This window comes from Homo sapiens, chromosome 8 (genome assembly GCF_000001405.40).
Source record: "Homo sapiens chromosome 8, GRCh38.p14 Primary Assembly".
Taxonomy (NCBI): Eukaryota; Metazoa; Chordata; class Mammalia; order Primates; family Hominidae; genus Homo; species Homo sapiens.
Genome location: NC_000008.11, coordinates 132,668,976 through 132,683,191, shown reverse-complemented (window position 1 = coordinate 132,683,191; position 14,216 = coordinate 132,668,976). Strand labels below are relative to the sequence as shown.

General features: G+C 41.7%; 1 protein-coding gene and 1 long non-coding RNA gene across 25 annotated transcripts in view; one reads left to right on the top strand and one right to left on the bottom strand.

Moving 5' to 3' along the window:
- Positions 1-14,216, top strand: part of DNAAF11 (dynein axonemal assembly factor 11) — a 132,498-nt gene that overhangs the window by 19,722 nt on the left and 98,560 nt on the right. For 10 of the 24 annotated variants that reach the window (NR_135908.2, NR_135906.2, NR_135907.2 and 7 more), the window contains exon 1: positions 7,647-7,708. The exons of 5 other annotated variants lie outside the window; for them this stretch is intronic. Coding sequence is in view for 5 of the 19 variants with exons in the window: in NM_001321962.2 (NP_001308891.1) it covers positions 7,699-7,708 (10 nt within the window). In the remaining 14 variants the exon portion in view is untranslated. Of the gene's footprint in view, positions 1-7,646; positions 8,635-14,216 lie in introns of those variants that run through there. 9 more of the 24 variants (NR_135911.2, NR_135913.2, NR_135912.2 and 6 more) reach the window with 3 other exon arrangements.
- On the bottom strand, positions 7,134-7,562 carry LOC105375767 (uncharacterized). Its single transcript, XR_928665.4, has 2 exons — positions 7,387-7,562; positions 7,134-7,300 (listed from the first exon to the last, which is right to left on the bottom strand). It is a non-coding gene; the product is annotated as an uncharacterized LOC105375767 (long non-coding RNA).

Sequence of the window (14,216 nt, the reverse complement as noted above, 5' to 3'; positions counted from 1 at the left end):
TTCAACCAGAAAAGATCCTTTTTTATTTGTCCTATATATTAGGATTTGAATAGAAGACTTAGGCTGCTAAATCAAAGCTCAAATACCATGGAATCCATCTGCTATTATGTGGATTTGATTTTTTCCCCTCCAAACCTCATTTTTAAAATTTGATTCCCATTGTTGGAGGTGGGGCCTAATGGGTGGTGTTTGAGTTATGGGAGCAGATCCCTCATAAATAGATGAGTGCCTTACCTTGGGGGTGAGTGAATTCTTACTCTGTTAATACCAGAGAGAGCTGGTTGTTAAAAAAAGCCTTGTCTCTCTTGCTTCCTCTCTTGCCTTGTAGTCACTGCACATGCTAGCTCCCCGTCATCTTCTGCCATGAGTGGAAGCGGCCTGAAGCCCTTACCAGATGTAGATGCCCAACCCTGAACTTTTCAGCCATCAGAATCATGAACCAAATAAGTATTTTTTCTTTATAAATTACACAGCCTCATGTATTACTTTATAGCAACACAAAATAACTAAGACACTAGTTTGTTACCTAAATAAAGTGTCACCTTCTACTGGAAGAGTAATGTGTCCATACTACTGACCCATCCTATTAAACACAGTAGTGAAAGGTGCTTGTTCACTTCCCAAGTCAGTCAGTGTATTAAAATTAGTCCCATATTTAAAACAGATATTTGACTATATCTCATGATTCTGTGGGTCAGAAATACTAGCAGGGATCAGCTGGATGATTTTTCTGTTCCTTGTGGCATTGACAGTGGTCAGTCATTCAGGGATATTAAGCTGATGGATGAAATGGTTCAGAGAGTCCAAGACAGCATCACTGATGTGTCTGGTGCCTTGGCAGGAAGGGCTGAAAGGCTGGGGCTGGGTTGGAGGGGGCATCTACATTGGCTTCTCCAGCACGGCGGCCTCAGGGTGGTTAGACTTTAACATGGAGCCTCAGGGGTCCAAGAACCAGAGTTAATCAAAGTGGAAGCTGCAAGGATTTTTATGAACTAGTTTGGCAGATGACTTAGTGTTTCTTCCCTTGTACTCTATTGGTCAAAGTGGTCAGAAGCACATCCAGATTCAAGGGAAGGGGAACAGGCACCATCTTTCAATTGAAAAGAATGTATAATAATTTGTTGTCATGTTTTAAAACCTTCACATCTCAAACTGAGATGTATCAAGCACTTACTATGGGCAAACATTTTACACACCATCCCTTTAAATCTTGGCAAAATTCAATCAACTAAACACTTTAGTGTTACCCATTTTATAGATGAGGAAACTGAAAAACAATGAGGGTAAGCAATTTGCTTGAGACTCCTATACTTGAGCCCTCAACGGTGGAGTAGGATATCCTAGTTATTCTCTCCTGAGTATATTCAAATCAGTAAAGTCCTAACTAAAACATCACCTCTTGCCTTTCTTAAACTAATGGAGATGGGCAGAAGTTTGCACAAATAAATTAAGACAATCATTTAAAATTAATTTCATCTTCGATTTTGAGACATGCTTTTCTACTTCCACTTGATTACTAGAATGTCTGATGTTTGGAGAATTCATATCCAACAATACAAATTTATACCTATAGATATGGATAAAGAAAGCACTGGAATTTTCCAGTGCTTTCTTTATATTCCACTTCTCTTCCAGATGGAAAAAGAAGTTACCCCTTATGTTGGATGCAGTAGATCAACTTAAGTAATGCTGCCCTCCTCCAGTCTTCTCTGTCACAAGCGATACAGTTAAGTTTGATTTTTTCAGATCTTTTTCACTAGGTTGGTAGAAAGCAGACTGAATTTCTTTATCTGTAAGATGGAGACAGTAATTGTACCCACTTTTTAGGGTAACCATCTATGGATTGCTTTGTTTGCCAAAAAAAAAAAAAAAAGGAATGGTTGGCTGGGTGTGGTGGCTCACGCCTGTAATCCCAGCACTTCGGGAGACCAAGGCAGGTGGATAACCTGATATCAGGAGTTCAAGACCAGCCTAACCAACATGGAGAAACCCCATATCTACTAAAAATACAAAATTAGCCAGGCGTGGTCGTGCATGCCTTTAATCCCAGCTACTTGGGAGGCTGAGGCAGGAGAATCACTTGAACCCAGAAAGTGGAGGTTCCAGTGAGCCGAGATTGCACCATTATACTCCAGCCTGGGCAACAAGAGTGAAATTCTGTCTCAAAAAAAAAAAAAAAAAAAAAAAAGGAATAGTTATTGGGTGCAAAACTAATTGCGGTTTTTGCCATTACTTTTAAATGGCAAAAACTGCAATTACTTTTGCACCAACCTAATAGCTCATACTGAGTACTTTCTACATGTCAAATACTCTTCTAAGGGTTTTACATGTAATGTGCCAATTAGTCCTCAAGGTGCCTGGTATATGGAAGGTACTCAATAAATACATGCTGATGGAAATAAAGAAGGAAGGAGGGAAGAAATGAACCAAGGAGAGAAGGAAAGAAGGGAGGGTAAAAAAGAAAGGAAGGAAGGGAAGAGAGGAGGGGAAAGGGGTAAGGAAAAAGGGATAAGGGAACAGGACAATGAAAGGAAGGAACTGAGACTTGTAGTCGTGCTGGTAAACTTGGCAGCTTGGTTTACCTTTCATAAAGTTGCAATGTAGAAACTTTTCTGAAGAAAAATAAATGCAAAGTATGGTGGAATTCTAGTCACAATATTGGTTACATATCATAAAAAAATAAGAAATTATATAAGTTAAAATGAAAATAAAAAGAACTAAATTGCTTTCTAGGCAAATGTCCCTAGAATTTATCCAGCATAAAAGAAGTAGGAGGACTATTTTGCTGTTACTGGAATAAAAAAAAAGCACACACACTCTCTTTAAGATTTATTTTTTCTACTTGTATACACAAAATGTCACACCTGTTTTTTCAGGAAGCATAGCTCATCTTGCTATAGTTCCAGCAGCCAAAGAAATAAGTCTATTTGGAACAATGATTTGCATAAACAGACACACACCACAACTCTTTAAACTCTTTCATCCACTTTGAGTGAAATGAACTTGACTTTACTTAGAGCTGTCACATCGTGATTTCCCAGTTGTCCTCCCTGTCAGTGGACTGTGACAATCACAGCACATTGTACACATGTCCTTCATACCCCCTGGGTCCTCTGTTTCTAAGAAACACAGTGACTGTGATGTTGGGTTGAGGAAGGACACATCATAACCAGCCAGCCTGGCCTATGACAAACTGCAAAGAAGATATTGCTGATTTCCCTGCTTTATCATCCAAAGCTTTTCTCTGCTTGTATTATTCTGTTTTCATGCTGCTGATAAAGACATACCTGAGACTGGGCAATGTCCAAAAGAAAGAGGTTTAACTGGACTTACAGCTCCACGTGGCTGTGGAGGCCTCACAATCATGGCAGAAGGCAAGGAAGAGCAAGTCATGTCTTACGTGGATGTCAGCAGGCAAAGAGAAAAGCTTGTGCGGAGAAACTCCCACTTTTAAAACCATCTGGTCTTGTGAGATCCATTTACTATCACGAGAACAGAAAGGGAAAGACCCACCCCCTGGTTTAATTACCTCCCACCAGGTCCCTCCCACAACACGTGGGAATTATGGGCATTACAAGATGAGAATTGGGTGGGAACACAGAGCCAAACACTGCTCCACCAGAGTGTCAGGACAATCTGTCAAGACCTTGCCCCTGGAACCAGATCTTATCCTAGATTTTGGTGAAAAGGTCCCAAGAAAAAGAACAGTCCAATAACCAGAGAATGAGGTACACTTCCTGGTAAGCCTGCTAGATTCCTTTACAACAGGGACACCTCTGTGGTTGGTGATCCTACTGAAGTGACAAGATGTAGGCCTTACACCAAAGACAGCCAAGCTCTTGAAGAAATTGGCTCACTGACTCCTCCATTCAATCATTCAACAAATATTTACTGAGCACCCAATAAGTGTCAGGAATTTTGCGAGAGCTAGGATTCAGGGATGGAAACAAACAAACAACAATAACAAAATTCCCTCTCTGCCCTCGAGTAGCTCTCAGTCTAAAAAAATGATGCAGTATAGAATTAAGGTTTAGGCACAAAATTCTGATTCACTATGCTTTAGTAAAATAATATCACTGGGCTTCAGTTTCCTAATCTGTAATATATTCATGACAATATGACCTGCTTGAGGGTTACTGTGAGAATTGAGTTAGTAATTTCAAAGTACATGGGCAGTGTTGAGCGCACAGTGCTTAAAAGTATCTTAGAGATTTTTCTCCAGTAGAATGACAGCCCAATTGTTTATTCACTTATGAATGAATGAACAGAATACTTGAGTCCCACAGATATAAAATTTCACAGGAAAAATCCAAGGCACATGTCCTAGTCTGTTGTTACTTCTATAGTGAAATATCTAAGACTAAGTCATTTCTCAAGAATAAAAATTTATTTTTATTCTTATAAATTCTTATAAATATTAATAAATTATAAATTTATTTTTATATAAAAATTTATTTTTATTCTTGATAAAAGTCCAATATTGGAAGTTCAATATAAGGGCACTAGGCACCAGTCACGGTAGCTCACACCTGTAATCTCAGCACTTTAAGATGCCCAGGCGGGAGGATCTCTTGAGGCCAGGAGTTCAAGACCAGCCTGGGCAACACAGTGAGACCTTATCTCTATAAAAAAATCTAAAAAAATATTAGCCAGGCATGATGGTGCACACACATAGTCCCAAGGTTGAAGACTGAAACCTGGGAAACACTGGGAAGTGCTCTGGAGAACAAAGTTGAGGTTCCAGTTTTAAAGAAAAAAGGACTAATCAGGAAACGGGTGACTACGAAAGTTGCTTGTTAGGAATTCTCACTGGTTTACAGAAATAACATTGATTAGTTATTGGTTGTACATTGTTAAACTATAGGGAATGAGTTATGATGTCCAGTGTACAGCATTGTTAGGTTTATTTATAGCCATTGGTGGCAACACGCAGTCTAGGGTCCATACGGCAGGCAGCTTTGAAACGATTACTTAGCTTAAGGGGATGGGGGACTGGAACTTGACTGCTGTCACATTTCAGTGCCTCTCTGGGCCTGATAATTTAAAGGGTGCTCCCATTCCTCAGATAGAAAGTTTATTTTCTTTCTCATCACTCTTAAACTCTCAATCTTACTCTTGAACTCTCTAGTTGTCAAAGGGGCTGCTGTGGTTTGAATGTTTTTGTCCCCTCCAAAATTCATGTTGAAATTTAATCCCCAATGTAGCAGTATTAAGAGGCATAGCCTTAAGGAGGTGATTGAGTCACAGGGGCTCCACCCTCATGAATAGGATTAGATGCCCTTATAAAAGGGATTGCCAAATGGAGTTCACCCCTTTTCACCTTTTCTATCCCTTCTGTCATGTGAGGACAGAGGGCTCCTTTCCTCAGAAGAATGCAGCAATGAGGCACCATCTTGGAAGTGGAGACCAGGCTCTCATCAGGCACCCAACGCACCAGCACCCCGATTTTTTTAGACACAGAGTCTCACTATGTCGCCCAGGATGGAGTGCAGTGATCATGGCTCACTGCAGCCTCGAACTCCTGGGCTCAAGCAGTACTCCCACCTCAGCCTCCCAAGTAGCTGGGACTATATATATTAATTTTACCTCAGTTTCTTTTTTTAAGTCAACAGTGAGTAGGTCTGAGAGTGAGGATAGAAGCTTAGAGCCAACATGTCAAATACCTGGGTTGCAATTGCTCTTGAGAACTTTCTGCGGTTCTGGAGTGGCTCCCTTTGTCTCCTGATCCAGAGGCTGAGATCCTTTATTATTTTTTTTTAATTTTTATTAAGAGACATCGTTTCTTTGTGTCACCTAGGCTAGAGAGCAATGGCACAATCCTAGTTCACTGCAAGCTGAGATCCTTTATAGTAGGCCTGACCTCATGCTTTTGTCAGCTTAGAAACTAATCTTTCTGCCCAGTAGTAGCTTCCTTCTAGAAGCTAGATCCTTTTTAGCCTTGATGAACCCCTTGTTGTTAAAATGCACAATTCAAGCACAGGCGAATTTGCTAAACTTGCCTGCTGCTAATAGCATTTCATCTCCTTTGTGAGTAATCAGACATCAGTGCTCAGTGTCACGTGTCAGTGTCAGCGTGTCAGTGGCACGACCACAGATGTTTACCCATATTGTCATCATCATGTGGAAATAGAGAAGTTTCAGCTTTCAAAGGTGAAGTCATCTGTCTGATGCCACACAGTAATAAATCTGTGTATTTAATCTATGTTTCCAATGCCAGAGCTAATACTGTTCACCTCACACTAACCTGCTTTCAGAAAAATAATAGTGGATGTCAGGTAAGTTTATAGTTTGAGTGCCTTTTGGGAGGCCTCCTTGGAAATCCAAATATTCAGGGAAATAGTGCCTGAAATCCCACTCTTCCAGTTCAGTTCCTTTGGCCTGGCATTTAAGGCCCCCATTACCCCCGATCTAATCTCTCATTCTTACTGTTCGAAGATCCCTTCTATCTAGCTCTCTTTATTGCCAAACTGATGTTTCTGCTTCCCCCCATCACCTCACTCTGTTAGACTTTCCTGCCTCTCTGTCCAAGTTCATGACCTTGTCTCTACCTGGCAAACTCTAATAATTGCCAGCTGTAAATGCTTAACAGCTATTCGCTAGAAAAATTAATTTCTTTGCACTCAGCATTGCTCTAGGAATCTTCTTTTAAAATGCAAACATAATACACACATCAAGATAAGAAGCACGCACTCCATACTGTTTAAAACGACTGGGATGGGAGAAGGTTTTACCTTTTACATATTGCCCCCCTCCTTTTTCTGCAAATGGAGTAAAGAATAATAATTACTTTCATAATAATGGTACCTTTTAAAGATTCTTGGGAAGCTAACGCATTAAAGTGCTAACACTAAGATCTGAGGGTGAATGAGCTTGCTGATGTGCTTCCTAGTTTAGAATGGGAGAAGGCGCGTTGCACACTTTTGGAGAAGGGTCTGGGGAAACGTGAGGGGAGTGTGGGGCTGTAGGAGATATACTTCCTACATTTTACAATTAAGAGAGTGGAGAATAGGGAAATTGATGGAGGGGGTAATGGGTGGCGTTTCTGGAAAGCTTGTTAGCCGGAAACGAGTGTTGGAGAGTGACTTTAAAAAGCTGGAATATGACAACGACAACGAATCTTTATAGTGAGCCTGTTGTTTTCATAGTGTCTTTCATTCACTCAAATTATCTAATTAAAGCTTCACAGTGATCCTCTTAGGTTATTTCTCATCTTACAGATGTGCAAACTGAGGAGAAGGAAGTGTAAGGTCACGCCGCTGGTAGAGTTGGGGGCCAAATCCAGATCTGTTGGCTCTGGAAGCTGTAAATCAAACACAAAAAGGAAAAAGTCAAAGGCGGTCTGGAAGGCAAGCCTGGAAGGCACAGAAAAGAGAAGCGTCCTCATACTTTGTTCACTCTAAACCATTGATTCAGGGAGAGGGAAGCAGTCTGTGGCAAGTCGGAAGTGCGACGAGGACGAAGACTGGGTTTGGGTTGGGGAACCCCTGTCTGCTGAGCCCCTTCACTGCGGTCTCCTCTGCTTGCTCCGCGGAGCTCAGGAAACGCGGCTTGTTTTGGTCCCGCGCGGCCGCCGTAGAGTCCCCGTTGCCATGGCTCCTGAATTCCGACGGGGACGCGCTGAGGAGCAGGGGTGAAGGGTGAAAAGCGTCATTCGAGGTCCGGGTCCGGCTTGCGGGGTCAGCGAACTGGAGAGGCGCCATGGGCTGGAGTAAGCCCCCCTCCACCTTCCGTCCTCGATCGTTCCCCTTGTGGAAGTAGTCCCGGGTCTCGTGGGATCCTCGCCGCCCGCTCCCGCCCTGCGCTGTCGGTTCCCCCGCGCCTGGGCGGACCCTAACCCCACCCGGCCCTCCGCACCGCAGCCCCGGCTGCACCAGGTCCTCTGCAGACTGGCCGGACAGCCTGGCCTTTTCCAGCTCAGGTTCCTAATCTGTAAAATGGGCGGGGCCGTGGGAAGGGGAGGAAGAGGCAGAAAGGCACTGGACTCCAGGAAAGGGGTCGGGGAACGTGCAGGGGTTTTGGCGCCAGACACACCACGTTCCGGCCAAGTGGCTCCTTACTGGCTGTGAACGTGGGCCAGTCACTGTCTCCAAGCCGCAATCTTCGGACTCATTCCGGAAGGCAGTGTAGCCTAATGGTGGAGGGTTCCGACTCTGGAGCCAGGGTTGAAGTCCTCCCTCTTCCTGTGACTTTGAGCGAGTGACTTCACCCCTTGGGCCTCAGCTTCTTCATCTCCAAAATAATGGCAATCATACTACTGTTTTAGACACAGTAAGTGTTATAAACGTGTTTTTGTTTGTTTGTTTGAGACAAGAGTTTTGCTCTGTCGCCCAGGCTGGAGTGCAGCGGCGCGATCTCGGCCCACTGCAGCCTCCGCCTCCCGGGTTCAAGCAATTCTCCTGCCTCAGCCACCTGAGTAGCTGGGATTACAGCGTGCACCACCACGCCAGGCTAATTTTTGTATTCTTAGTAGAGACGGGGTTTTGCCATGTTGGCCAGGCTGGTCTCGAACTCCTGACCTCAGGTGATCCGCCCGCCTCGGCCTCTCAAAGTGCTGCGATTACAGGCGTGAGCCACTGCGCCCGGTAGTAAACGTGTTTCTTTAAGAATATACTAACAAACTGCAAGGTGATGCGGGTAAGTTATTTATATTGTATGAACCATTTTGATATCGACAACGTTTTTGAGCTCCCCATATGGCAGTTTTGTACAGCTCTACCTAATTGATCACTTATCATTGTAAAAATGTCATAATTAACTTTTTTTAAATCAAGAGACTGCTCCAGATGATGGGCTTTCTGCCCTGGAAGACCTGACAGCCTGCAAGTGGGAGAGGTGGGGGTCGGGGGGGAGTGATTTGTAAATGTTGAAACTCCTTTCCTAAATCAGCTACTGATATTTCTTCCTCTCTTCTCAGGGCTGTCTCCCCATCCCCTGGTCTCACCCTAGTTGGTTTTTTTCTTCTTCTCCTTCTCCTCCTCCTCCTTCTCCTCCTCCTTCTCCTCCTCCTCCTTCTCCTCCTCCTCCTTCTCCTTCTCCTCCTCCTCTTCCTCCTCCTTCTCCTCCTCCTCCTCCTCCTCCTGCTCCTCCTCCTCCTGCTCCTCCTCCTCCTGCTCCTCCTCCTCCTGCTCCTCCTCCTCCTGCTCCTTCTGCTCCTGCTCCTCCTGCTCCTTCTCCTCCTTCTCCTTCTCCTTCTTCTTCGCTTTTTTATGTCGGGAATTTTCCTTTGCCCTCTTTCTCTGAGTCGTGCCCACTTTGATTTGTTAAATCATTAACTTGTCAGACTTGCATCGGAGTGTCTACCTTGAATCAGGTATTGAATGCAGGATACAGTGAGGAAGGAGGCAGATGTGGGCCTACCCTCCTAGGGAGGGAGAAGACAAACAGAAGTATAGTGGTTACAGCCAGGAGAGAGAGGGGTGCCTGTGCCCTGAGGGTGTGGGTAGGGGACCTAACCCCAAGGTGGGTGGAGGCTTCTCTGAGGAAGCAGTGCTGTCTGGAAAGGAAACAGGAAAGCTCAGTGAATTGCCCAGAGGTGAGAAAGAGCAGGGCTTCTTGGTGGCTAATTGTCACTGACAGGAACTGGTGTGAGACAGAAAGAAGGAGTGGAGAGCAAAGAGATAAGGAAGGCCTGACAGGTAGGCAGGGATCCGCTCATACAGGTTTTGTACTTAGGATTTAGAAATTTATCAAAAGAGCCACAGAGAAACCAAAAGGTTTTGTTCATGGGCATAGCTTGGCCCTATAGGAGTTCGAGTGGGAGATAGTAGGCTGAACTGAGGTCGTGGCAACAGGACAGATGACAAGCACTCCTCCAATGAGTAGCTCTGATGTGCCAGGCTTGGTTAACATGCTTTACCTGCATTCTCTTGTTTGATCTTCCCAGCAGCCTTTTAAGGCAGGGAAGGATTACTGACATCTCTATTTCTTTGGTGAGGCACAGAGAGTAAATCACACAGTAACTATCAGGGCTGGGAACAGAACCCACGAAGATTTCCTCTGGGTCCTGCATTACACCGCACTGCCGCCCACAGGACTGAGGCGAGTGGACAGATTTGAAAGATGTGGGTGGAGAAAGTGGTCCTCTTTTGCTGTGCCACAAACCCTTTTTACATGTTCTCTCTCCCCCGTGCTTCCCAATAAATGGCCTTCTGCCTCTTGCTAACATCTCCTGACTGCTCCTGTGTGCCCTTTTTTCCGCTGCCTTTCCTGTATTTTCCAAAAAAAGACGCAGGGATGTCATTAGTACAGGTTTTAGAGAGACCGTGCTCGAGAGTTCATCTAGTGTACCTGTTCATTTTAGAGATGAGGAGGGGAACATTGATTCAGCCAGTGTCACATCCCGTCAGTCAGGAGAGACGTCGAACCTAGGATACGAGCTTCCCGGCTTTCGCGGCTCTTTCCACAATTCTCAACCTCCTTCAACTAAAGGAGAAATTTGGGCTCCTGAGAAAGGATGATAATAATAGCTCACTCACAGTTATTGAGCTGCTTATTGCCTTCTAGTCAGTGTTCTGAAAGTTTCTCTGTGTGTGTACTCATTGAATTCTCACAAAAATCTTTTGAGGTAGACACTAGTATCATCACCTCCATTTTGCAGATGAGGAATCTGGAGCACAAAGAGGTTAAGCAGCGTGCCCAGTGCCACACAGTAAGTGGTATATCTGGGATGGTAAGCAGAGCCCGCACTCTTGTGTATGTTTGCTATATTGTCTCTTAGGAGTAAGAGACAGTTTGGTGAGAAAAGGAGAGGTCATGGTGCAAATTCTCATGTAAAGTTGAAGAGACCACTATTTTTGATGTTTGTGTCTGCTCAGGAGGACCAATATTGAGCCTGGGGATGGTGGCAAGAGGAAAATGAATTAGTTCCTCTCTGTGCATTTAATCTGGTGTGTGTTGTGATTTAGAGAAGATCTAGTGTCTTTATTCTTAAATTTTATACTATTGAATGCATTTTGTATTACTGGGACACATTTGTCATCTATAGATCTTCTTTGGTGAAATGTCTTCAAATATTTTGCCCATTTTATACATTGATTTGTTTTCTTATCCTTGAGTTTTAAGAGTCTTCTATATATTCTGGATATAGGTCATCAGATACATGATTTGCAAGTATTTTCTCCCCACCTATGGCTTATATTTTCCTTCTCTTAATTATTTTGAAAGAGAAGATTTAAATTTTGAAGTTTAATTTATTATTTTATAGATCTTGCTTTTGATGTCATATCCAAGAAATCTTTGCTAAGTTTACATAGATTTTTCTCTTTTTTTTCCTAGAAATTTTATAATTTTTGGTTTTATGCTATTCCATCATTCATTTGACTCAATTTTTGTATATGATGTGAGATGTAGATTACATTGTTGTTGTGTGTGTTTTTTTTTTTAATATGGAAATCCAGTAGTACCAGCCCCACTTGTTGAGGACTATGCTCTCTCCATTGAATTGAACCTTTGGATAAACCAGTGGCTTGTATATGTGTGTTCTCGACTTTCTTTTCTGATTCATTGATTTATTTGTCTTCCTCTGTGCCAATTTCACACTGTCTTGATTACTGGAGCTTTGTAATAAGTAGTCTTGAAATCCAGTAGTGTTTTTCCTCTAAATTTTTTAATCTTTTAAAGTTGTATTCAGATCCTTTACATTTCTATATGAATTTCAGTAGTATCTTGTCAATTTGTACAAAAATAAGTCTGCTGGGATTTTGACCTGAATTGTGTTAAATCTGTAGCTCGATTTGGGGAGAATGAGTATCTTAACAATATTGAATCTTCTGACCCAAAAACAAGGGATATATCTCCATTTATTTAGATATTACAAAATGTCTACAATATTTTTGAAGTTTTCAATGGACAGACTTTGCACATATTTTTCTGATTTATCTCTAAGTACTTCATATTTTTGATGCCATTGTAAGTGTTGAGTATATAGAAGTATACTTGATTTTTTCATATAGATCTTATATTCTGCAATCTTTTCAAACTTTCTTATTCAATTAGCTTTTTATATGAATTCCATTTGATATTCTCTGTAGACAGTCATATCATCTGCAAATAGAAATAATTCTACTTCTCTACCACCTGGATGCCTTGTTTTTCCTTGCCTATTGCTAGAACCTTCAGTATAATGTTGAAGTGGTGAGAACAGATTTCCTGGCCTTTTTTTCTGATTCTTACGGGAAGAGTCTTTCTCTGCTCGATATAATGTTGATTATAGGTGTTTTGTGGATGCTCCTTGTCAAGTTGAGTTCCTTTTTATTTCTGGTTTTCCGAGTTGTTGTCTTTTTAAAATTGGGAATGGATGGTGGATTTTGTCAACTGCTGTTTTGTCTCTACTGACATTATCACTTTGTTAGTTTATTAATATTGTATGTTACTTGGATTTCTGAGCATTATATCAACCTCGTATACATTGGATAACTCCCCCCTTGGTTATAATGTATAATTTTTTTATTATGTTGTTGGATTTGATTTGCAAAATTTTTTTGCTTAGGATTTTTACATATGTGTTCATGAGGTACATGGATCTGTAGTTTTCTTTTCTTGTAATGCATTTGATTGGTTGTAATTCTGACCTTATAGAATATAATGGGAAGTATTATTTCCTCTTCAATTTTCTACAAGAGTTTGTGTATATGGGGTATTATTTTCCCTTAAGTTTTTGGTAGAATTAATCAAAGGAGACATCTGTGCCATAGTTTTATTTGTGGAAAGAAAGGTTTTTAACTACATATCCAGTAGATATAGGGCTGTTCAGCTCATCTATATATTCTTGAGTGAGCTTTTGTAATTTGTGTCTTTTAAGGGATTCACCCGTTTAATTGATGTTCTTGAATTTATTGGCATAAAGTTACCTATAATATCTGTAGAATACATATGATGTTACCTCTCTCACTCCTAATATTGGCAGTTTGTGTCTTCTCTCTTTTTTGCTGATAAGTCTGACTGAAAGTTTACCAATTTTATTTTCTTAAAGAGCCAGCTTTAATTTTTATTAATTTTTCTCTATTTTTTTCTGCTTTTCATTTCATTGATTTCTGTTATAATCTTCATTATTTACTTTCTTCTGCTTATTTTGGGTTTAATTTGTTCTTTTTCTAGATCCTTAAAGTGGAAGCCAATATTTGAGACCTTTCTTTATTCCTACTATAAGTATTTAATGCTATAAATTTACCTCTAAGTAATGTTTTAGCTGTATCCTGCAAATTTTGATATGTTGCTTTTCTGTGTAATTTTTTTTTTTTTTTTTTTTTTTTTGAGACGGAGTCTTGCTCTGTCACCCAGGCTGGAGTGCAGTGGCACGATCTCAGCTTACTGCAAGCTCTGCCTCCTGGGTTCACGCCATTCTCCTGCCTCAGCCTCCTTGTAATTTTTAACTCTGTTCAAAATACTTTCTAATTTTCCTTTTTATTTCCTTATGCCCAAATTTAAAAAATTACTTTTGTATGTTTTGTATAGATTTTTAGGCTAGAGGGTAAACCCTGTTTTATTACTCTATTATGTCCAGAACCTGACGTCACTGCTAATCTTATGATGAAGTACTGGTCCTAGCCCTCAGCTTTCTCTGTCCTCTGGTTTCAGGAAATGAAAACCTCTTCATAGTGCTCCCAGTCCAGTCCTCTGGTTTCACACTTCCTCTCTCAGCCTTTCCTGATCAGTTGTGTTTAGCAGCAGCCTTTATACAATACAATATAATTGTCCTTTAAGTTACAGTTTCTCTCACATTTCTCTAACACCTGACATGTTACACTTACTAGTACATTCCCTTCCACTTGTATCCTATCTCTGTTCAACACCAGTGCAAGTCTTTACAATTGCATAACTGCCTTGGGCCAGGCACTATCTATGTTCTGCCTACCAGGAATAACAGTGTCCTTGCCACTGTGACAACATGTAGTCTGACTCCAAAATCCTATCTTAGCTAGCATCTGCTTTCATGCACCACTTCTGGTATCAACTCTTCCAGTTTAGGCTCCTCAGGAAGCCGATATCTAGGTGGGAATTAGCATGCAGGAGGTTTATTAGGGAGCATTGTTGGGGTGGGTAGGAAAGAAATCAAAATTGAGCAGAGGGGGAAGTTGGGCTGTGATATGTCTAACAAAGGCCTTAGGAAACCAACCAGGAGATCTAAACTTGGAATGAACCTTCTGACTTGCCCAAGTTGGGGTGAAGAACTGGGCCTTTATAGCCCCTACATCAACCAGTCATTGAATGTGGACTTT